The following is a 23,095-nucleotide window of genomic DNA, read 5'->3' on the forward strand; positions in this document are numbered from 1 at the left end:
GTCCAGCAAGATCCTGAAAAGTTTAACTCATACTTGAATAAGGCACACTCAAACCACCACTGACAAACAAACTTATGAAATTAATTAATGAATTATGGGGCACAGGCCTAATTTATGTACCACCAGCAATTTCCTTTCATCAATAGCTATAAAAATCATTTTATTGGTCATTTTTCTGAGATTCCTTCAAATATAAACTTCTAAAATAGAAGAACGGACATAAAGACGTAGCATGCAGGTAAACATTTGTTAGAGCTGCAGGCTAGTAAACATGCCTGCTCATAATTAATGCATCTATCTTATATTTTATCTCCCTGACATCTCCAAAACCCGTATTCTACATTTTTGTTTTGCCTTTTATAAATATCTTTTAAAGGAGGGAGATCATGTCTTATTTTGCATTATTTTCTCTTGCATAATAAAGTTTCATCTTATTATTGGCATTTTATTTTCCCCTGGGTGAGTCATTGAAAATGGTAAAGCAAGTGAGACCAGGAAGCAGGTGCATTTCTTACATTATTCTGCAGTGTTCTTTCCATATGCCCAAGCTTTTGTGTTCAACTTGATAGGAATTAAATATGCTTTATTTCCTTTGAGGAATAAAGTTCTCTTGACAAGCACCTCCAACCAGAGAAGTAAACACTGTATGAGAATAAACGTCAGGATTTTTACCTTTGTTTCCTTTGGAAATCTTGTCTCCCCAAGGGCAAAAACATATTTCTGAGGAAACATCAAGAAGAATGATGTTTTACTTGGCCCTATGAACTCAGAGCAGATATATGTTGATCTTCAGTATTTGTTTGCACATAGTGTTTTTAAATATAATGAGAAATACAGATTCTCCTTATTCTAAAATATTCCACTGTCCATCAAGAGGAAATTTGTGTGTGTATTTATTGCTGCAGACCAAAAGCAGAATATTTTCAAGACATTGTTATTTTGATTTGACATCTAAATTTTTCCATCTGTGAAATGGGTAAATATATACCCGCCTTATAAGGTGTTTGTGAAGGCTACTTGAGAAAATACTTGTAAATTGAATGTGATATGCAGACGAAAAATGCTTGAAGCAGTTCTTCAATGAGAAAAATTGTCCTGTCAATGTTAACCTCATAATTTCACCCTTTTTCATTTTTAATTTACTTATTTTTCCTCTTTCCTCAGGAGACTGAAAAGTATGAGTGAGATAGCACTAAGCTTCTCAACTATAATCTGTAAGATGGAAGAAAATTCCTACTAGTGTGGAGCTGCCAGGTGTCGAGGTGGTCCATTAGGACAATGAGCTGAAATGAAACTAACGATCGAGACTTTGTTCACCTGCTGTGATGATGTAATCAAGGGCAAAAATAAGCGCCGGCTCCCTAGTGTTAATTTTCCCCATGGGACAGCAGTGGTCAGGATTGTGGTGGCATGCAGTGCAGGTGAGAGAAGTCTTCCCACTGCCCAGGAACATTAAAAAAAAGGCTCCTGTTTTTTTGAGGACCCAGGATGCCAGAGTGAGGAAGAGGGACAGGGAAGGGAAGACGTAGGAGCAGAGGAACACTGAGTGAGAGTGGCTGAAAGCCAAGAACTCTTTATGGTGGTCTCAGTGGAGACACTTGGGCTAAGAATGCAGATCTGCATAACAGCAATGTTCACCAGGGAGGGGCCTGAGTCCTTAACTGCAACTCCCTCCAGAACACGCTAATGCACTGGCTGTGTACCACGTCTGGTGTGGGAAGGGCAAGGTTTCTCCTATAAGATTTGCCAGGCAAAGGCTTATAGTTGCTAAGGGACAGGCATAAAAAATCACACAAAAGATTTTGCCTAGACCTGGACTCCTCAGTTGCTTTTGTGGTGTAAAATTGGAAAATAACTCACCCGTATTAGGGAGAAAAGTATATAATAGAGAAAAGCTCCTTGCCATTTTAAATTACAAAGTAGACATAAGTGACCTTCATAAGAAATGAACATGTCTAGTATTGGGCAATAGCTAAAGAGGCTATAGTGTATCTGCGTGATGATACATTAAGTAGTAGCTGTAAATGGTGTTTTCAAGAAATATTTAACAGTGAGAGAAAATATTTGCAGTGCTTGAAGTCAAGAATGTAGAGGAGCACGTTTTATATTGAGTGAGGTACCAGTTTATGGAGTGTGTGTGTATGCAAACTTACAAAAGGGTATCTAATGTGTAAATTAGCTATTATGGACAAATGGATCACAAAAAATTGTAATTCTACAAAATTTGACAAATTCTCAATGATGATGCATAACTATTATAATTATTAAATATATTATTATACAAGTAACTAAAATAACTTTAAAGATATGCTGTCTGGGCAAAGGGGGAGGGTCTGTCAGAGCCAGCTCTGGGGCACTCGTTACTACTCTCAGCACAGATTGGGCAGGGGGAAGAAAAAGAATTCCCAGAGACAGAAAGGAAAGTTCATTGTTACCTCTCACTCTGCGAAGCTTAAGTTTGCTACTTTGTTGGGCTTTTAGCTTGTCCTTTTCTTTTTTGAAAATATATCATGCTTCAAATAATAATTTAGTAAACCCAATGTGAATGAATTGATACCACAAATAGTATGTGTGTGGGGACCTAAGAGAAGAAAACATTCATTGAGATAAGAAGTGGGATTATGACTGTTAGGGATGAACCTCTTCTTTACTCCCTCCTCATATCTTCCTGGGCTCTATACTGCCTTTGTTCTTTAACTATGTGTCTTAGTACATTTGGGTTGCTCTAACAAAATACCATCAACTAGGTAGCTTATAAACAGAAATTTATTTCATATAGTTCTGGAAGTTGGCACGTCTAAGATCAAGGCACTAGCAGATTCAGCATCTGGTGAGGGATTTTTCCTGTTTCACAGATGGCTCTTTCTCACTATGTCCTCATCTAGCAGAAAGGGACAACTCTGCTCTCTTTAGCCCCTTATAACGGCACTAATTCCATTCATGAGGTCTCCACTCTCATGATCGCACCACTTCCCACAGGATCCACACCCTCTAATACTCTCACCATGGGAATTAAGATTTTAAAATATCAATTTTGGGAGAGCAAACATTGAGACCATAGCACCATGTGTGCCCAGCTGGGTTGCCGCCTGTTGTTCTGACTGTGCACCTGAGGAGCTGGTTCACACTGTATATCTCTCTGCAAATATCACCTCTGCCATTTCAGCTGTGATACACGTTACTGACAAACAAAGGGACTGGAGAAAATTACTGCATTTTTCTTATTTTATATCTTCTTGACAAATTTAAACCTCCCCAAACAGCACAATCCTTTCAGAATTCTCAGTTACTTTTTGATTTTATACAGATTTGTTTTAGAGGATTAAGGAATCTTCACCTTGGCCTCACCTCTTTTTAATCGCTGGTCTTGATTCTGACATTTAAACTTTATTTTCCTCAAGAAATTCTAAGGCTGAATTACTGCCATTTAGCAAAGTAAGGGAAGCAGATCCTGAAATAACAGAGGTGAACAAAGCAAGTTCTTTTCCTGAAGAATTGATATAGAAGTAAAGCCATTGTTTTATTCCAGAATGATTCTTTCTGTTCGGAGCTGTTTCCTTCCCGTCCAGAATAACCAAAGCAGAAGCAAGTAGATTTCAGATCTACTGGAAAGCTCAGCCTATAATCATTGAGCAAGTCAATCAAGAAAACACATTTGCCTCAAAATGAATATAAGTTTTCTAAAAATTTTGTGTGTAATGAATGTAGACAACCTGTACTAATGGACAATGACCAGAAGCTGGAATATTTTCATTTCTTTTTTAAAAATTGACTTTAACCTTATTAGTGATTGTCTTTTCAATTCAAATATCTATACGATAATGAAAATTTTAACATTTTAATAGCTTTGTATGCACAGCTCAGGAAATTCATGCCCACCTTCCAGGTGTTTTAATGGAAGAGGCCATCTCATGAACATAAACCATAAAAAAGAATCCCAAGCTATCAAGATAGATGTAGGTGGAATGTAATGTTTTCAGTCAAAGGAATTAAAGGATTTATTTACAAACATGAAGTAAACAACCTGTGTTCTCAGATTTATCTTGACCCTCATTATTGGCTGTAGCCTGTGGTAGGACATATCTGAAGCAACCTTCCATTGTGGGTTGAGGCATCCCTTCTTTTGGAAAATCACACAGGACCCAGGATGGAGACTGACAGAGATAAGAGTCTGCCCATGTGCCTTGAATCCACTCTAAGCCAAGAGAGAAGAATCCTTCTCAACCTCCCTTGTATGTGATTAAGCCAATTTACTTAGAGAAAATATGAGATTGAATTTAGAGGGCAAAAGTCACCCATCAGTTGTTCAGTTTCTTAGCTTCCTAATTCATTTTTCACTAGAGGATGAACAACTTCAAATCCTGGATCTACCACTTACTAGCAGTGTGACATGGGCAAGCTTTTAACTATTCTGGTCATCAGTTTCTTCATCTGTAAATTACGGCTACCACTGATTCTTCCCTCATAGGGTTGTTGGAAAGACTAAAGGAATTAACACATGAAAGTGGGCCTGATACACGCTGAGCACTGGGAATGTGTTTATATTCCATCATTCCCTTTCTCTCTTTAGCTAATTAAACAATTGGGATTCTGAGCACTTCTTTGCTCAGAGAAATGATTAATAATTTCAAAATTTCAAAATGTCAAGCTGATTATATAAACCAAATCACTGAAATTTTGCATTTAACTTGGGTCTTGTCTTTGGTCAACAGAAATAATGTGATACCATGGATATACTGTGGATTTATTGAAATGAAGAGCAGTTGCTTCTCTGATCACCCACAGATCACATTTAAAATGATTAATCATGCATTACAACAGATTGGTTAATTTGGAAAATTTTATTATATGAGTTTCTATATCATTATTTTTATTATTATTGCTTTATTATAATTTATCTCAGATACATGAAGTCACTTGGTGCTCTGGTAGCTTTCATGCGCGTCCGTGTTAAGAGACCACCAAACGGGCTTTGTGTGAGCAATAAAGCTGTTTATTTCACCTGGGTGCAGGTGGGCTGAGTCCGAAAAGAGAGTCAGCGAAGGGAGATAGGGGTGGGGCCGTTTTATAGGATTTGGGTAGGTAAAGGAAAATTACAGTCAAAGGGGGTTTGTTCTCTGGCGGGTAGGAGTGGGGGTCGCAAGGTGCTCAGTGGGGGTGCTTTTTGAGCCAGGATGAGCCAGGAAAAGGACTTTCACAAGGTAATGTCATCACTTAAGGCAAGGACCGGCCATTTACACTTCTTTTGTGGTGGAATGTCATCAGTTAAGGTGGGGCAGGGCATATTCACTTCTTTTGTGATTCTTCAGTTACTTCAGGCCATCTGGGCGTATACGTGCAAGTCACAGGGGATGCGATGGCTTGGCTTGGGCTCGGAGGCCTGACATTCCTGCCTTCTTATATTAATAAGAAAAATAAAACAAAATAGTGTTGAAGTGTTGGGGCGGCGAAAATTTTTGAGGGTGGTATGGAGAGAGAATGGGCGATGTTTCTCAGGGCTGCTTCAAGTGGGATTAGGGGCAGCGTGGGAACCTAGAGAGGGAGAGATTAAGTTGAAGGGAGGTCTTGTGTAAGCGGTGATATTGTGGGGATGTTAGAAGAAACATTTGTCATATAGAATGATTGGTCATGGCCTGGATACGGTTTTGGATGAATTGAGAAACCAAATAGAATAAAAGAAGGAGAAAAACAGGTATAAAAGGTCTAAGAATTGGGATGACTCAGGATATCTGATTAGAGAGTGCCTAAGGAGATTCAGTATAGTCCTGCCAGCAAAGATTATTTATTTACTTCAAGAGTTAAGAGTGGCAGTTTGGGGATAGCACCAGGAGATATCAGCTGTGATGGCTTGGAAAAACAGTGTAAACCGGCAGTGTAAACAAGAGCAGGGCATGTATGAGTAGTTGAGAACGGTGAATATGAGTATGACTAGACAGAAGATAGTGGGGATGACAAGTTTTTTGGGGCACAGTCTAAGTTGGTCTGGTGTCTGGAATGAGACTGGGGCCTAATAAAAAGGAGCGTCTATACAGGAGCTTAAATGGGCTGTACCCTGTAGCATTCTGAGGACAGGCCTGAATTCTGAGAAGGGAAGGTGGTAAAAGTATTGTCCAGTCCTTTTTAAGTTGGTGGCTGAGCTTGGTGAGGTGTGTTTTTAAAAGACCTTTAGTCCATTCTACTTTTCTTGAAGATGGAGGATCGTAAGGGATATAAAGGTTTCACTGAATACTAAGAGCCCGAAAAACTGCTTGGCTGATTTGACTAATAAAGGCTCATCTGTTATCAGACTGTATTGAGGTGGGAAGGCTAAACTGAGGAATTATGTCTGACAGAATGGAAGAAATGACTGCGGTGGCCTTCTCAGACCCTGTAGGAAAGGCCTGTACCTATCCAGTGAAAGTATCTACCTAGACTAAGAGGTATTTTAGTTTTCTGACTCGGGGCATGTTGAGTAAAGCTAATTTGCCAGTCCTGGGTGGGGCAAATCCTCGAGCTTGATGTGTAGGGAAGGGAGGGGGCCTGAATAATCCCTGAGGAGTAGTAGAATAGCAGATGGAACACTGAGAAGTTATTTCCTTGAGGATAGATTTCCACGATGGAAAGGAAATGAGAGGTTCTAAGAGACAGGCTAGTGGCTTGTACTATAGCATAACCTGCCTTTGCTGGTATGTGGCGATTAGGCCTGGTGGAACCACCATCAATAAATCAAGCGTGATCAGGTGAGGAACAGGAAAGAAGGAAATATAGGGAAATGGGGTGAATATCAGGTGGATCAGAGAGATACAGTCATGGGGGTCAGGTGTGGTATCAGGAATAATGTGGGAGGCCGGATTGAAGTCTGGGCCAGGAACAACGGTAATTGTGGGACTTAACAAAGAGTGAGTACAGCTGAAGGAGCCGGGGAGCAGCAGGTATATGCGTCAGGTATGAGGAAGAAAATAGATTTTGGAAGTTATGAGAACTGTAGAGATTGAGTTGAGCATAGTTTGTGATTTTGAGGGCCTCTAAAAGTATTAGGGCAGCAGCAGCGGCTGCACGGAGACATGATGGCCAGCCTGAAACAGTAAGGTCAAGTTGTTTGGACAAAAAGGCTACAGGACGCGATCCTGGTCCTTACATAAGAATTCCGACTGCACAGCCCTGCACTTTGGCTGTGTGTAATGAAAAGGGTTGGGATGAGTCAGGGAGAACTAGAGTGGGGGCAATTTCTAAAGCTGTCTTCAAGGAATGGAAAGAGGAGTGGGGAAAGGATTTAGGATCTATGGGGTCAGCTAGGTTTCCTTTTGTGAGCTTATATAATGGTTTTGTTAGGATGGCCAAACCAGGTATCCAAAGGCGAAAGTATCCAACCATGGCCAGGAAGGAAAGGAGTTCTTGTTTTGTAGAAGGGGTTGGGGTTTGAGAGATCAGTCAGACACGATTGGCAGGGAGAGCACGTGTGTTTTTATGAGAATTATGCCAAGATAGGTAACAGATGAGGAAGAAATTTGAGCTTGATTGAAGTAATGGGGGCTGTCTGTGAAGCTTTGCGGCAGTACAGCCCGGGTAATTTGCTGAGCTTGATGGGAGTCAGGGTCAGTCCACGTGAAAGCGAAGAGAGGCTGGGATTAATGGTGCAAAGGAATAGTAAAGAAAGCATGTTTGAGATCTAGAACAGAATAATGGGTTGTAGAGGCAGGTATTGAGGATAGGAGAGTATATGGGTTTGGCACCACGGGGTGGACAGACAAAACAATTTGGTTGATAAGGCGCAGATCCTGAACTAACTTGTAAGGCTTGTCTGGTTTTAGGACAGGTGAAATGGGGGAATTGTAAGGAGAGTTTATAGGCTTTAAAAGGCCATGCTGTAGCAGGCGAGTGATAACAGGCTTTAATCTTTTTAAAGCATGCTGCAGGATGGAATATTGGCATTGAGTGGGGTAAGGGTGATTAGGTTTTAATGAGATGGTAAGGGGTGCATGATCGGTCGCCAAGGAGGGAGTAGAGGTATCTTATACTTGTGGGTTAAAGTGGGGGATAAAAGAGGAGGATGCAAAGGAGGCTTTGGATTGGGAAGAAGGGCGGCAATGAGATATAGCTGTAGTCCAGGAATAGTCAGGGAAGCAGATAATTTAGTTAAAGTGTCTCAGCCTAATAAGGGAACTGGGCAGGTGGGGATAACTAAAAAGGAGTGCTTAAAAGAGTATTGTCTAAGTTGGCACCAGAGTTGGGGAGTTTTAAGAGGTTTAGAAGCCTGGCCGTCAATACCCACAACAGTTCTGGGGGCAAGGGAAACGGGCCCTTGAAAAGAAGGTAATGTGGAGTGGGTAGCCTCCGTATTGATTAAGAAGGGGACGGGCTTACCGTCCACTGTGAGACTTACCCGAAGCTCGGCGTCCGTGATGGTCTAGGGGGCTTCCGAGGCGATTGGGCAGTGTCAGTCTTCAGCCTCTAAGCCGAGAAGATCTGGCAAGGAGTCAGTCAGAGAGCCCTGGGCCAGAGTTCCAGGGGCTCTGGGAGTGGCTGCCAGGTGAGTTGAACAGTCTGATTTTCAGTGGGGTCCCACACAGATGGGACGCGGCTTAGGAGGAATCCCGGGCTGCGGGCATTCCTTGGCCCAGTGGCCAGATTTCCAGCACGCGTAGCAAGCTTCTGTGGGAAAAGGTTCTGGAGGAACGCCTGGCCACTGCACTTCAGGCATTTGGAAGTTCTTATGTGCTGGAGATGTGGCTGGGGTTTGTCTCACAGTGGAGGCAAGGAATTGCAACTTTTTTCTATTATTGTACACATTGAAGGTGAGGTTAATTAAATCCTGTTGTGGGGTTTGAGGGCCAGAATTTAATTTTTGGAGTTTTATTTAATGTTGGGAGCAGACTGGGTAATAAAATGCATTTTGAGAATAAGACGGCCTTTTGACATTTTAGGGTCTAGGGCTGTAAAGTGTCTCGGAGTTGCTGCCAAACAAGTCATGAACTGGGCTGGATTTTTATATTTGATGTAAAAGCCTAAACGCTATCTGATTTGGGATAAAGAGAAAGGAGCATTAACCTTGACTATGCCTTTAGCTCCAGCCACCTTTTTAAGAGTAAATTGCTGGGCAGGAGGGGGAGGGCTAGTCACGGAACGAAACTGTAAGCCGGACCAGGTGTGAGGAGGGGAGGTGATAAAAAGATTATAGGGTGGAGGAGCAGAGGCTGAGGAAGAATTGGGACCTAGCTTGGCCTGGCAAGGAGCAGCCTTGGGAGGAAGGGAGAGGTCAGATGGGTCTGTAGAAAAGGAAGATTAGAAAGACTCAGCGACGCTTGGGGTTGGTACTGAGGGGACAGGCGGAAGGGAAAGAAGGAAGATTTGGGATGAGTTGCACTGGGCACAGAGACTAGGAAAGGACTGATGTGTAAAAGAATGCCTGGACATCAGGCACCTCAGACCGTTTGCCTATTTTACGACAAGAATTATTTAGATCTTGCAGGATGGAAAAATTCAAAGTGCCATTTTCTGGCTATTTGGAACTGCTGTCGAGTTTGTACTGGGGTCAAGCGGCATTGCACAAGAAAATAAGCCATTTAGGTTTTAGGTCAGGTGTGAGTTGAAGAGGTTTTAAGTTTTTGAGAACACAGGCCAAGGGAGTAGAAGGAGGAATGGAGGGTGGAACGTTGCCCGTAGTGAAGGAAGCAAGCCTAGAGAAAAGAGAGAGTAGAGAAACAGAGGGAAGGGGTTCGGGCATTCTTACCTTCCAGAAAAGTGGGAAAAGGGGTTGGGGTGCAGAGATAAGAGGTTGGGGCAGGGAAATAAGGGATGGGGCGCAGAAATAAGAGGTTGGGGCATGGTATTAAGGGACTGGGGTGCAGAGATATAAGAGGTTGGGGCACGGAAATAAGGGATTGGGGCACAGAGATGCGAGGTTGTGGCACGGAAATAAGGGATTGGGGCACAGAGATGTTGGGGCATGGAAATAAGGGATTGGGGGTTCTTGCCCCGTAGAAAAGCGGGACTTGCCGCTAAGGGTGAAGGAGAAGGGGTTGAGGGGTACTTGCCCCTGCCCCAGAAAAGCAGAGAAGGGGTAGAGACAAGGAGAGAAGGGGTTGAGGGGTACTTGCCCCTTCCCCAGAAAAGCGGGACTTGCCGCTAAGGGTGAAGGACCAAGGCAGGCGTCCCTGCGTGGTCTGACACCTTTGAAACATGGGTGAATAATCAGAGGCGTCCCTGCAATGATTAAACACCAAGGGAAGACTGCCTTCCCAGTCCGTGACCGGCGCCGGAGTTTTGGGTCCACGGATAAAACGTGTCTCCTTTGTCTCTACCAGAAAATACCAGAAAATGAAAGGAATTGAAATTAAGAGAAGGGAGAGATTGAAGTGTGGCACCAAGATTGAAAGGAGAAAGAGGTTGAGGGTTAGTGAGGGAGGTTGGAGAAGAGAGTAAAAAGAGGCCGCTTACAGGATTTGAAATTGGTGAGATGTTTCTTGGGCTGGTCGGTCTGAGGACCTGAGGTCGTAGGTGGATCTTTCTCACGGAGCAAAGAACAGGAGGACGGGGGATTGATCTCCCAAGGGAGGTCCCCCGATCCGAGTCACAGCACCAAATTTCATGCGCGTCCCTGTGAAAAGACCACCAAACAGGCTTTGTGTGAGCAGTAAAGCTGTTTATTTCACTTGGGAGCAGGTGGGCTGAGTCCGAAAAGAGAGTCAGCGAAGGGAGATAAGGGTGGGGCCGTTTTATAGGATTTGGGTAGGTAAAGGAAAATTGCAGTCAAAGCGGGTTTGTTCTCTGGCAGGCAGGAGTGGGGGTCGCAAGGTGCTCAGTGGGGGTGCTTTTTGAGCCAGGATGAGCTAGGAAAAGGACTTTCACAAGGTAATGTCATCACGTAAGGCAAGGACTGGCCATTTACACTTCTTTTGTGGTGGAATGTCATCAGTTAAGGTGGGGCAGGGCATATTCACTTCTTTTGTGATTCTTCACTTACTTCAGGCCATCTGGGCTTATATGTGCAAGTCACAGGGGATGCGATTGCTTGGCTTGGGCTCAGAGGCTTGACAGTAGCCACAGTCTGGATAAGGATAAGGTTTTCTTATTATTTTTATTTTTTATTATTTTTTATTTCTGCCCCTATCCCCTATCTGCTTTGCTCCTCTCTGTTGTAGAGACTGTATTTCACTCAACTCTAATATCCAACTGGTCTGCTTTTCCTCCTCCTCTTCCACTGGTCTGTTTCTTAATACAGGGAACTAACCTTCCATGAATGAAATTCCCATGCTGTAATACTCTTGGGCATCCAGTTAGGCTCGGTAGATAGGAGGCACTGATGGGAGAATGGAAGAAAGGAGGAGAGGAAAAAGCCAGATGATTCTCCTCTGGTCTCTCTTTCAACAGAGTCTTTAACTATGACACCAGTGCCTGCTAGGCAGTCCCTCTTCCAAGGTATGAACTCCCCCTAAATATCCCACAACCCAGGCTCAGTGGCTCAGCCAGGGCCAGCTTCATGGGCTGGAGACCTGTGAAGTCATAGTTGCACAGAGCCTCATGCATAAAAGGGCCCCATGCTTGCTTAATGCTCTGCTATCGCCATCTTGAAATTCTTAATGATTTTGAACAAGGGCTCACGCATTTTCATTTTGCACTCAGCCCTGTAAGTTATGTAGCTAGTCTTGGTTCCAGCACTGCTCAAGGAACCCCCTTCACATTTCTAGCTTTCCAAGTTTCACATTCACCTATAAATAGCAAAGCATGTAATTTTATTTTCTGCTACTGTAATACCAGTCTGTTAATTTGACAAATGAAAGGAGCAGCTAACTTTCATTTTTTTACTATCTTTAACAATATATATTATATGTTCCTTGAAAGGACATGTTAAAATAGCATTTATCTATAGAACTATCTGTCTCTGAAATGGTAGGGAGTGAAGTAAGGAAGAGTGTCTTTGGTTATTTTTATTTGTTCAATATTCATTTATTTGTTATGTTTTTTCTTTTATCAATTTTAGCATTTTATATTTTTCCAATAATGCATCTCTTCTAAGGTTTCAAATTCATTGCTGTTTATATTATCTTTGTTACCATGATATATCAAGATTATCATATCATATTATATCCTATATACTATACTTATTATCGTAATTATATAATAGTTATATTTTCTTCTAATCTGTATATTCATTAAATATTTAATCTGTTGTAGTAAATTCTTTCTTGCTACTTTGCATTTACTTTTTTGCTCATCTTACAGCTTAAGTTGCACAAATATTTTTCTCAGAGTTTCAGCTGTATATCAGACTTCTTAAATTACTTTCATTTTATGGATTATTTCACTAAATATTTCCTCTTCAATGAAGAATTACTTAATATTTATATTTTAACATGTGGAACTTTTTAGCTATAAAATATTTGTCTTTTAATTTGTTAATTTCTAATATCACTGCATTATGGTAAATATATTTTTCTTTAGTCTACAATTGACCATTAAACAACACAGTTTCGAACTGCATAGGTCCACTTATATGCAGATGTTTTCAATAAATATATTGGAATAAGTTTTGGAGATTTATGAAAATTTGAAAAAACTCATAGATGTACTGTATTGCCTAAAATATCAAAAAATAAGAAAAAGATATGTCATTAATCCTTTAAAATTTATGTAGATCTTAGTCTATTTATGTGTAACTTGGCTGTTTATGTTACTGGTGAGGCCTCCATTCAACAGTAAGCTAATAATAGTTAAGTTTTAGGGGAGTCAAATTTATATGTAGATTTTCAACTGTGTGGGGGATCAACACCCCAACCCTTGTGTTGTTTAAGGGTTAACTGTGTGTGTATATACATATGTATGTATATATATACACATACAGATGCACATACGTATACACATATGTATACGTATACACACACATATATACACAATATCCATTTCTTTCATCAATATCCATTTATTTCTCACCTCTTTCTCTACATACTGAAATCCCAACCTCACCAAAACTACTTTTTTCTGCTGTTTTCCTAGTTCGGGGACATTGTTTATTTAAACCACGAGAAGATTTGTAGACTTATTTATTCAGTGTGATCGTCTATATCTTGTTTCTTCCTGGATCTGGTTTCTATTTCTGTTTGAGTACTTCCTCCAAGAGTGTTTTCAACGAAAAGTTTGCATAGTAAATTTTATAAAGTCTCATATGCCTGAGAATAATATTTTGCCCTCATATTTAAATTATAGTTTTACTGGATTAAAAACATGTTCAAATTTCTCTTCTGTCAACACATAAATATTATTGCATTGCCTTCTGGTATGCAGTGTAGCTGTTGAGAAACCTAATTTTTAATCTAATACTTGTAGTTTCTAAGGCTGTCTACACTATTCTTTCTTGCAGCTTTTAAGATGGTCTCTCTATTGAATGATCTCAAATATTATAATAGTGTATACAAATGTGTTCTCTTACCGTTCTGTTTTATATAGGCATTTTTCATATTTTTTAAATGAAAACATTAGATATTGTTTCAAATATTTCCTTCTCGGTTCATCTGTCAAAAAACACTTAACATAGTTTCTATGTCTTGGGTATTGTAAGTAAATGGCAAAATGATCGTGGGAGTACAGATATACCTTTGAGATATTCATTTCACTTCTTTGGATTTATACTACTTAGTAGGATTGTTGTACCACATGGCTCAATTTTCACTTTTTTAAGAAAACTGCCTACTGTTTTCCACAATGGTTTGTTTTCTCTCTACACTTTCACCAATACTTGTTATCTCTGGTCTTTTTGATATAGCTATACTAACAGGTGTGAGGTGATATCTTGTGGTTTTGATTTGCATTTCCCTGATGATTAGTGATACTGAATACCTTTTAGTATACCTGTTCGCCATTTTTAAGTCGTCTATGGAAAAATGTCTCATGAGGTTCTTTGCCTACTTTTTATTTGGGTTACTTTGTTTTGTGTACTGTTGAGTTTTATGAGATGCCTATATATTTTGGATTTAACCCTTTAACAGATATATGCTTTGCAAATATTTTCTCCCATTTTATAGATAGCCTTTCCATTTTATTGACTGTTTTTTTTTTTCTGTGTAAAAACTTTTTAGTTTGATGTAGCCTCACTTGTTTTTGTGTATTTGTTTGTTTTGCTTTGCTTTTTTATGTTATTTTTGCCTGTGATTTTGGTGTTATATCCAAAATCATCACTACCAAGACCCATATCAAGGAGATTTTCTCCTATGTTTTCTTTCAGGATTTTTGTTTGTTTGTTTTAGGCCTTATCTTTAAGTCTTTTATCTATGTTGAGTTAATTTTTGTGTACGGTTTAAGATAAGGGCACACTTTTATTCTTCTGCATATGGATATTCAGTTTCTCCAGCACCATTTATTAAAAAGACTATCTTTTCATCACTGTGTATTCTTGTCATCCTTGCCAAAAATTAGTTGGCTGTACATGTGTAGGTTTATTTCCAGACTCGATATTCTGTTGCATTGGCTTAATGTGTCTGTTTCTATGGCAATACCATAGGGTTTTGATTACTACAGCTTTGTAATATACTTTTAAATCAGGATGTGTAATGCCTCTAGTTTGTTCATATTTCTTAAGATTGTGTCTTTTGTCATTCCGTACACGTTAGGATTGTTTTCTCTATGTCTGTAAAAATTATCATTGGAATTTTGATAAAATTGTCATTGAACCTATAGATAGTTTTGTGCAGTGTGGACATTTGTACAATATTAATTATACCAATCTCCGTATAGAACTTTCAATCCTATGTTGAATAAAAGGGGGGAGAGTGGGAACCGTCGCCTTGTCCAGATCTTAGAGGCATAGCTTTCAATTTTTCAAAATTGAGGATAATGTTACTGTGGGCTTTTCATGTATGGTCTTTATTATGTTGAAGTGCATTCCCTAATTCGATGAGAATTTTTCATGAAAGCGTGTTGAATTTTGTCAAATTTTTTTTCTGCATCTACTGAGATGATCATATGTGTTTCATCCTTTATTCTCTTAATTTGGTATCACATTTATAGATTTGGGTATGTTGACACATCCTTGTATTCCAGGAATAAATCCCACTTGATCATAGTGAATGATCCCTTTAATAAGCTGTTGAATTTGTTTTGCTAGTATTTTGTTGAGGATTTTTGGATTTTTGCATCTATGTTCATCAGGGCTATTGGCCTGTAGTTGTCTTTTCTTGTAGTGTTCTTGTCTGGCTTATTGCCCTCATAAAAGAAGTTTGGAATTGTTCTCTTCCTCTTCTTCTGTTATTTATTTATTTTTTTTTGGAAGAGTTTGAAAAAGTATTGGTGTTAATTCTTCTTTAAATATTTGGTAGAATTCACCTGCAAAGCCATCTGATCCTGGGCTTTTCTTTGTTAAGAAATTTTTGATTATTGTTTCATTCTCCTTATTCATTATGGGTTTGTTCAGATTTTCTGTCTTCATGAGTCAGCCTTGTATATGCATAGGTTTATATCTACTGTGGTTGTATATTTCTAGAAGTTTGTACATTTTCTTCTAGGCTATGTGATTTATTGGCATACAGTTGTTCACAGTAGTCTCCTACCATCCTTTCATTGTATTTCTGTGGTATCAGTTGTAATGACTCCACTTTTCTTTATAATTTTATAAATAAAATTATATTGTTGGGATATCAGTGATAAAATTATATCCTTGGGATAGCATTGATTTTTAGCTTTATTGTATACATGGAGAAATGGCAGTGACTCCTCTCTCTTTTTCTCTTGGTTAGCCTAGATAAAACTTGATTACTTTTGTTCATTTTTTCAAAAGAAACCTCAGTTTCATTGAACTTTTCTATTGTCCATCTAGTCTTTCTTTATTTCTGTGTAATCGTTGTTATTTTCTTCCTTCTGCTAACCTTGGGATCAGTTTTGTTCTTATTTTTCTAGTTCCTTGAGGTATAAAGTTAGATTGTTTATTTGAGATTCTTTTTCTAAGTGTAGGCATTTACCATTATAAACTTCTGTCTTTGAACTGCTTGTGCTGCGTCCCACAGGTGTTGGTATGCTGTGTGTTCTTTCGTTTTCATTTTCTCAATACATCTTAAAATTTCCCTTTGTTTTCTTTATTTGTCTGTTTGCTCAAGAGCATGCTAATTTCCACATACTTGTGAATTTTTCAGTTTTTCTCCTGTTACTGATTTCTAGTTTCTTATCATTGTGGTCAGGAAGGTTACTTGATATTACTTCAATCTTACTTTATTTATTAATTTTTTTTGAGACAGAGTCTCACTGTGTCACCAGGCTGGGATCCAGTGGCACGATCTTGGCTCACTGCAACCTCTGCCTCCCGGGTTCAAGTGATTCTCCTGCCTCAACCTCCTGAGTAGCTGGGCCTATAGGTGTGTGCCACCACACCCAGCTGATTTTGTGTTTTTAGTAGGGATGAGGTTTGACCATGTTGGCCAGGATTGTCTCAATCTCTTGACCTCGTGATCTGCCCACCTCGGCCTCCCAAATTGCTGGGATTACAGGCGTGAGCCCCCACACCCAGCCTATTTATTTATTTCTTGAGACAGAGTCTCACTCTGTCACCCAGGCTAGAGTGCAGTGGTGAGATCTCGGCTCACTGCAACCTCCACCTCCCAGGTACAAGTGATTCTCCTGCCTTAGCCTCCCAAGTAGCTGGGATTACAGGGGCCTGTCACCTGGCTAATTTTTTTGTATTTTTAGTAGAGACAGGGTTTCACCATGTTGGCCAAGCTGGTCTCAAACTCCTGACCTCAGATGATCTGCCCACCTTGGCCTCCCAAAGCATTGGGGTTACAGGCGTGAGCCACCACGCCTGGCTTATCTTAAATTTGTAAAGCCTTGCTTTGTGGCCTCATTTTTTTCTTTATTATATTTTAGTTCTTTAATATTTTATATTGGTCACACCAGTGTCTCCAGTTGGTTCTTCTTTATACAGCTTGTATGTCTGCTACCAAGTCTATCCCTTATCTGTGAAAATATACTACTGTGCTTGGTGTAAGTTCAAACTTCATGTGATCCACTGTTAGTTTTTTTCTGACAGGTTGTTCATTCTTTCATTTCCTGTCATGGATCTCAAGTTCTCACATGCTTTGTTATATCTTCCTGTTGTTTCTTATTCCCTTGGGATATCAGTGATTTTTTTTTTTTTTTTTTTTTTTTAGCTTTATCGTGTACATAGAGAAATGGCAAAAGCTATGGTCTGCACTATGCCTGGCAAGTTAAGATGAGAGAGTCTTTGGGGCAAGACATCAGGGACAAAAATCTCTGGTGCTCCCACATGGTCTCAACTTCATTCCCATCATATGAACTTATTTATTAGGGAACAGTATTGCTTGCACTCTAGGCCCTCCTATTTTCCAAGTGCTCCTTTTATGACAGCACTTTTAGGCCTCTGGGGTTGTGCTAAGGGATGGAAAGATCACTTACAAGCAGTCTGCCTTGTTCTCCCTCAGTTAGACAGCACTAGTTTATGCTGTCAATTCCTTTTTTTTTTTTTTCAGTTGGCATTGGTGTTTTCCTGCCAGACAGGAGCCAAGAAAGCAGGGATATACCCAAACTGCATTGGAGGAAAGATATGAGCATATCAGAAACCTCTTCTGCAGCCTATTCTCTCATTTGGCTCTTGGCCTTGCTCCACCTTGCGTCCCCATTTTCTTCTCTTAAGAGGATGCTACCAAATTCGTGCTCCTCAAAGGTCTGTCAGAGTTGTGACTTATGTTCTGGGTTCCATCAGTCTCTTTCTAGCTTCTGTGGTATATCCAAGGTTAGATTCATCAGCAGTTTAAATGAAACCATGATCTTTTTTCCTATTTTATTTAGAAATGTAGAAATTATGTTCATGGAGTATATAGATAACATTTGGTAATGTGTCATATTCACTTCCTAGCAACCTGCACATATATTAATGTAGACTAGAGTTCTAGAGTTGAAGTGACGACATATTTGTTTTTATATGAGATCCAGACTTGTATTGAAAGTTGAGTAATTGTGTGATATCAGTCAGTTGTTTTATTTTTCTCCTTTTTTTGTAATTTAATTTAGAATCTATTCAGCTAAAACTTGAAAGCTGTATTGAATTGTTGGTGGTAAATTATGAATAGTAGCTCAGTGATTGTGCCTGGTAGCAGAGCAGAGTATACTAAGACATCCCAACATGCTAAAAATAACTAATATTTGTTTAGCATTTTACAAAACATTATCTTAAGTGACTGATAAAACTGTAAAACAAGCCTTATTATAATTCTCATTTTATGGATGAGGAAACCAGAGCTGAGGAAGGCTCTCTGACATTTTCAGAATCATTCAGCCAAGAATGAAAGTCAGGTAAATAGTACAAAGAAAATCACAAAGCCTGAGACATCTCAAATGCAAGGATAAGCAGGCACAAATACCAAGAATGCTAGTAGTAAACCAAGCTAGCAAAATCAAGCAAATGCAAGGAATCAGTGTCTACTTATGGATGCAAAACAAGAGACTGATGAGGAAGATGTATATTCTTTTGATCTGAAAGAACTATAATGGTCTCACTACCAGAATTTAGCCCCAGTTATACATCTGTAAAATGGAAGAAAAAGAACTAGAAAATTAAAGACAACAAATTCTCAGTTTAAACTTATCTTAGTGGGGAAGAGGATGATGGAGTGGGATTGGAACTCAAGTGCTTTTTTCACAAGCTTCCAGAGAGGAAAATATTTTGGTTACTACATATATTCTTAAAATATGTCAAAATAATGGTCATCTCCTTCTGTTCATACCTCTCCCATCTCTGTTTTTCTGTTTCTCTTTTTGACTATTTGCTTCTTTGTATTTCTTATCTTCTTCTTCCCCACTTCTGTAGCTCAGCAATTTCTGTGTATAGATGTGTAGATTTCTATATATAGATTATCTGACATTCTATTTAATGATGTACACAGATGTATATCTCCTATTTGCCTCTGTCTTGTATCTCATTTTCCTTTTCTGTCTCCCTCCACTCCAGCAACTGGATCATAACAATCATGCAATGATACATCAGGACCCTCGACCTCACAACATTTTGTCTACCATATGCTTAAAAGAAGGTAAGCTTCACAGAGTTTGGGTATTTGAGTTAAGTTGAAATTTTGCCTTTTTCTTTCTAAGATTAATGTATTTTATCACTTTAACAGATTTTTATCTATGAGATTCTGAATGTAAGTAATCAAAGTGGACATCTGTGTCTTCTTTTTCCTGAGTTTAACAGAAAATGATATATATGGGTTGTTCTGGGTCTTATAAACATCTTACACATGGTTCAACAATTGTCCTTCTATATTTAGCTTACTAAATCTTTTGAAATTTATTTTCTCTCAAATCAACAGGTATTAAAGTGATCATTTTTTAAACATCTATTAAGATAATCATCTTTTCAAAAATTTAATCTTCAGCATAATTACTCATGTTAAACTATTATTTCATTCTTAAGATAAAGTCTGCCTGATACTATTTATGAATATCATATTTAAAAGTTTTGTTCTGTATTTGTAAATTGGATTACTCTATGGATTTTTCTTTATGTGCATCATTTGTTTAGATTTGATTTCAGATTTGCTTTAGCCTTGAGGAATAAGTTGAGCAATTTTTTTTCTTTCATTTTGGTTTTTCTTAATTGCATTTCTAACATAGGTACTATCGCTTTCTTCAAGTTCTGGAAAAAACTCATCTCCAAACTGTCTAGAACTGACATCTATTTTAGAAGTACTTCTCTTTTTGATTTTTTTTTTCAAATTCTATAGGTATTAGTTTATTTAGGTATTTTAATTTTCCTTGGACAAATTTTGTTAACGTATATAGTTTTAATATATTAATTTCATTTAAATTTCAAATTCAATGGCATAAATTTGCTTGGAGCATTTTATTTTTATAACTATTCTCTGTTTATAGTTATATATTTCTTCTCATTTCTAATTTTGTGGTTGGTTTGTTTAGTTTGGTCTTCTTTCATGTTTCTTGATTGGATTTCCTCAAGGCTTGTATGTTCGATAGATCTTATAAAATAACTGTGTTTATATTAACCAAGTCTATATTTTTGGTATTATATTGTTTCTTACTTTTATAATTACGTTATTTCTATTTAAAAATTTATTTTGTTGTTTTCTAACTTCATAAATTGAAATCCAGTTGATATATTTTTAATATTCATTTTATATTATACATATTTAAGGCTGTACCTTTTCTCTGGGTGACATTCTTGACTCTGCCAGGTTTAAATATGCAGTGATCTCATGGCCATTCATTTTCAAGTACTTTCTAATCTTCATATCATTACTTCTTGCTTAATCAAGAGGGAACTTTTCTTGGGTCAACCAAGAAAAATATAGTAGCATGTCTGTTTTCACATGCTTAAGGGGTACGTGTGTGTGTGTGTGTGTGTGTGTGTGTGTGTGTGTGTGTGTGTATGTGGGGTAGAGTCACATTCTTTGTTGCAAAGTTTGAATTTATTCCATAATTGTCAGAAACATAGCCTACATGTTTTTTGCCTTGGGAAAATTATTGAATGTTACTTTCATGCTCACTATGTAATCTGATTTATCAAATGGTCTAGATTTGTTTGAATACAAACTTATTTCTGTATTTCTTGATACAAATTATGTTTATAATATCTATCTATGACTACATGTTGGTTAATTGCTTTATTACAATTCCTCTATAATTTGTTTTAAAATATGTTTTTAGTTTCAGAGATAAGTGAATTTAAAAGATCCCATTATAACGGTGGATTTGTCAATTTCCCTTGTGTAATTTCAAGTTTTTTGTTATTTGTTTTTAATTTAATGTATTGCAACAATATCATATTAGGCCCAGAAATAATTGTCATTACTATATGTGCTGATAAAGTAAAACTTTGGTAAATTCTAGGTAACATGTATCATCTACTCTGGCTTCCAATGTTGCAGACAGTGTTAAAATTCTCTGTATCACTATTAGGTCCATAATATTATTGTCGTTGTTATTATTATTGCCATTTCACAGAAAAGAGACCAGGTGTAAAGAATGAACACATACTGTTACTTTCAGCTAGCAAGCAAGGAAGCCACCCAGGCAGCTGCCCTGAACTCAAACCTACACAGACAGCTCCAGAGCCATTCTCCATCAGCGCCATGCTCATCAGTACCATTCATGTTTTGTTTTCTTCCTTGAATTCTATTTTGTCTTTATTTTTACAGTGTTGTCTGACCTATATGTACTCATTCTTTGTTTTAAACCACTTAGTGCCAATTCATTTTACGTTTAATGGTTAACACCGTATAGCTAAATTTTTTTAGAGAATTTGGTAGTCTTCAATAAAGATCATATACACACATTTTAATTATGGATATTTTAACTTAATAATGTTACTTTCCTACTTATTATATATATATATATTTTTTTTTTTCTTTCTTCCTTTTGTTTTTTTTTTTTTTTTTTTGAGACGGAGTCTCGTTCTGTCGCCCAGGCTGGAGGGCAGTGGCGCGATCTCGGCACAGTGCAAGCTCCGCCTCCTGGGTTCACGCCATTCTCCCGCCTCAGCCTCCTGGGTTGCTGGGACTACAGGCACCCGCCGCTACGCCCGGATAATTTTTTGTGTTTTTTTTTATTATACTTTAAGTTTTAGGGTAGATGTACACAATGTGCAGGTTAGTTACATATGTATACATGTGCCATGCTGGTGTCCTGCACCCATTAACTCGTCATTTAGCATTAGGTATGTCTCCCAGTGCTATCCCTCCCCCCTCCCCCCACCCCACAACAGTCCCCAGAGTGTGATGTTCCCCTTCCTGTGTCCATGTGTTCTCATTGTTCAATTCCCATCTATGAGTGAGAACATGCAGTGTTTGGTTTTTTGTCCTTGTGATAGTTTACTGAGAATGATGATTTCCAGTTTCATCCATGTCCCTACAAAGGACATGAACTCATCATTCTTTATGGCTGCATAGTATTCCATGGTGTATATGTGCCACATTTTCTTAATCCAGTCTATCACTGTTGGCCATTTGGGTTGGTTCCAAGTCTTTGCTATTGTGAATAGTGCCGCAATAAACATATGTGTGCATGTGTCTTTATAGCAGCATGATTTATAGTCCTTTGGGTATATACCCAGTAATGAGATGGCTGGGTCAAATGGTATTTCTAGTTCTAGATCCCTGAGGAATCGCCACACTGACTTCCACAATGGTTGAACTAGTTTCCAGTCCCACCAACAGTGTAAAAGTGTTCCTATTTCTCCACATCCTCTCCAGCACCTGTTGTTTCCTGACTTTTGAATGATTGCCATTCTAACTGGTGTGAGATGGTATCTCATTGTGGTTTTGATTTGCATTCTCTGATGGCCAGTGATGGTGAGCATTTTTTCATGTGTTTTTTGGCTGCATAAATGTCTTCTTTTGAGAAGTGTCTGTTCATATCCTTTGCCCATTTTTTGATGGGGTTGTTCGTTTTTTTCTTGTAAATTTGTTTGAGTTCATTGTAGATTCTGGATATTAGTCCTTTGTCAGATGAGTAGGTTGTGAAAATTTTCTCCCATTCTGTAGGTTGCCTATTCACTCTGATGGTAGTTTCTTTTGCTGTGCAGAAGCTCTTTACTTTAATGAGATCCCATTTGTCAATTTTGGCTTTTGTTGCCATTGCTTTTGGTGTTTTAGACATGAAGTCCTTGCGCATGCCTATGTCCTGAATGGTAATGCCTAGGTTTTCTTCTAGGGTTTTTATGGATTTAGGTCTAACGTTTAAGTCTTTAATCCATCTTGAATTATTTTTTGTATAAGGTGTAAGGAAGGGATCCAGTTTCAGCTTTCTACATATGGCTAGCTAGTTTTCCCAACACCATTTATTAAATAGGGAATCCTTTCCCCATTGCTTGTTTTTCTCAGGTTTGTCAAAGATCAGATAGTTGTAGATATGCAGCATTATTTCTGAGTGCTCTGTTCTGTTCCATTGATCTATATCTCTGTTTTGGTACCAGTACCATGCTGTTTTGGTTACTGTAGCCTTGTAGTATAGTTTGAAGTCAGGTAGCATGATGCCTCCAGTTTTGTCCTTTTGGCTTAGGATTGACTTGGGGATGCGGGCTCTTTTTTGGTTCCATATGAACTTTAAAGTAGTTTTTTTCCAATTCTGTGAAGAAAGTCATTGGTAGCTTGATGGGGATGGC

The 23,095-nt window shown here is 38.6% G+C and overlaps 1 long non-coding RNA gene across 1 annotated transcript, besides 3 other annotated features; it reads left to right on the forward strand.

Moving 5' to 3' along the window:
* Positions 1-1,176: 1,176 nt before the first annotated feature.
* On the forward strand, positions 1,177-21,274 carry LOC105374814 (uncharacterized). The gene is made up of 3 exons (XR_940261.3): positions 1,177-1,421; positions 18,926-19,007; positions 20,938-21,274. It is a non-coding gene; the product is annotated as an uncharacterized LOC105374814 (long non-coding RNA).
* Positions 4,916-5,812: an enhancer, noted in NCBI's record as "OCT4-NANOG-H3K27ac hESC enhancer chr2:76800731-76801627 (GRCh37/hg19 assembly coordinates)". NCBI's record gives its function as "activates a minimal SCP1, AML or CMV promoter by ChIP-STARR-seq in primed H9 embryonic stem cells {active_cell/tissue: H9 hESC(primed)}" and the evidence as "EXISTENCE:reporter gene assay evidence [ECO:0000049][PMID:30033119]".
* Positions 10,468-10,967: an enhancer, noted in NCBI's record as "OCT4-NANOG-H3K27ac hESC enhancer chr2:76806283-76806782 (GRCh37/hg19 assembly coordinates)". NCBI's record gives its function as "activates a minimal SCP1, AML or CMV promoter by ChIP-STARR-seq in naive and primed H9 embryonic stem cells {active_cell/tissue: H9 hESC(naive and primed)}" and the evidence as "EXISTENCE:reporter gene assay evidence [ECO:0000049][PMID:30033119]".
* Positions 10,968-11,469: an enhancer, noted in NCBI's record as "OCT4-NANOG-H3K27ac hESC enhancer chr2:76806783-76807284 (GRCh37/hg19 assembly coordinates)". NCBI's record gives its function as "activates a minimal SCP1, AML or CMV promoter by ChIP-STARR-seq in primed H9 embryonic stem cells {active_cell/tissue: H9 hESC(primed)}" and the evidence as "EXISTENCE:reporter gene assay evidence [ECO:0000049][PMID:30033119]".
* Positions 21,275-23,095: the final 1,821 nt, after the last annotated feature.

Source organism: Homo sapiens, chromosome 2, assembly GCF_000001405.40.
Source record: "Homo sapiens chromosome 2, GRCh38.p14 Primary Assembly".
In the NCBI taxonomy this organism is placed as follows: Eukaryota; Metazoa; Chordata; class Mammalia; order Primates; family Hominidae; genus Homo; species Homo sapiens.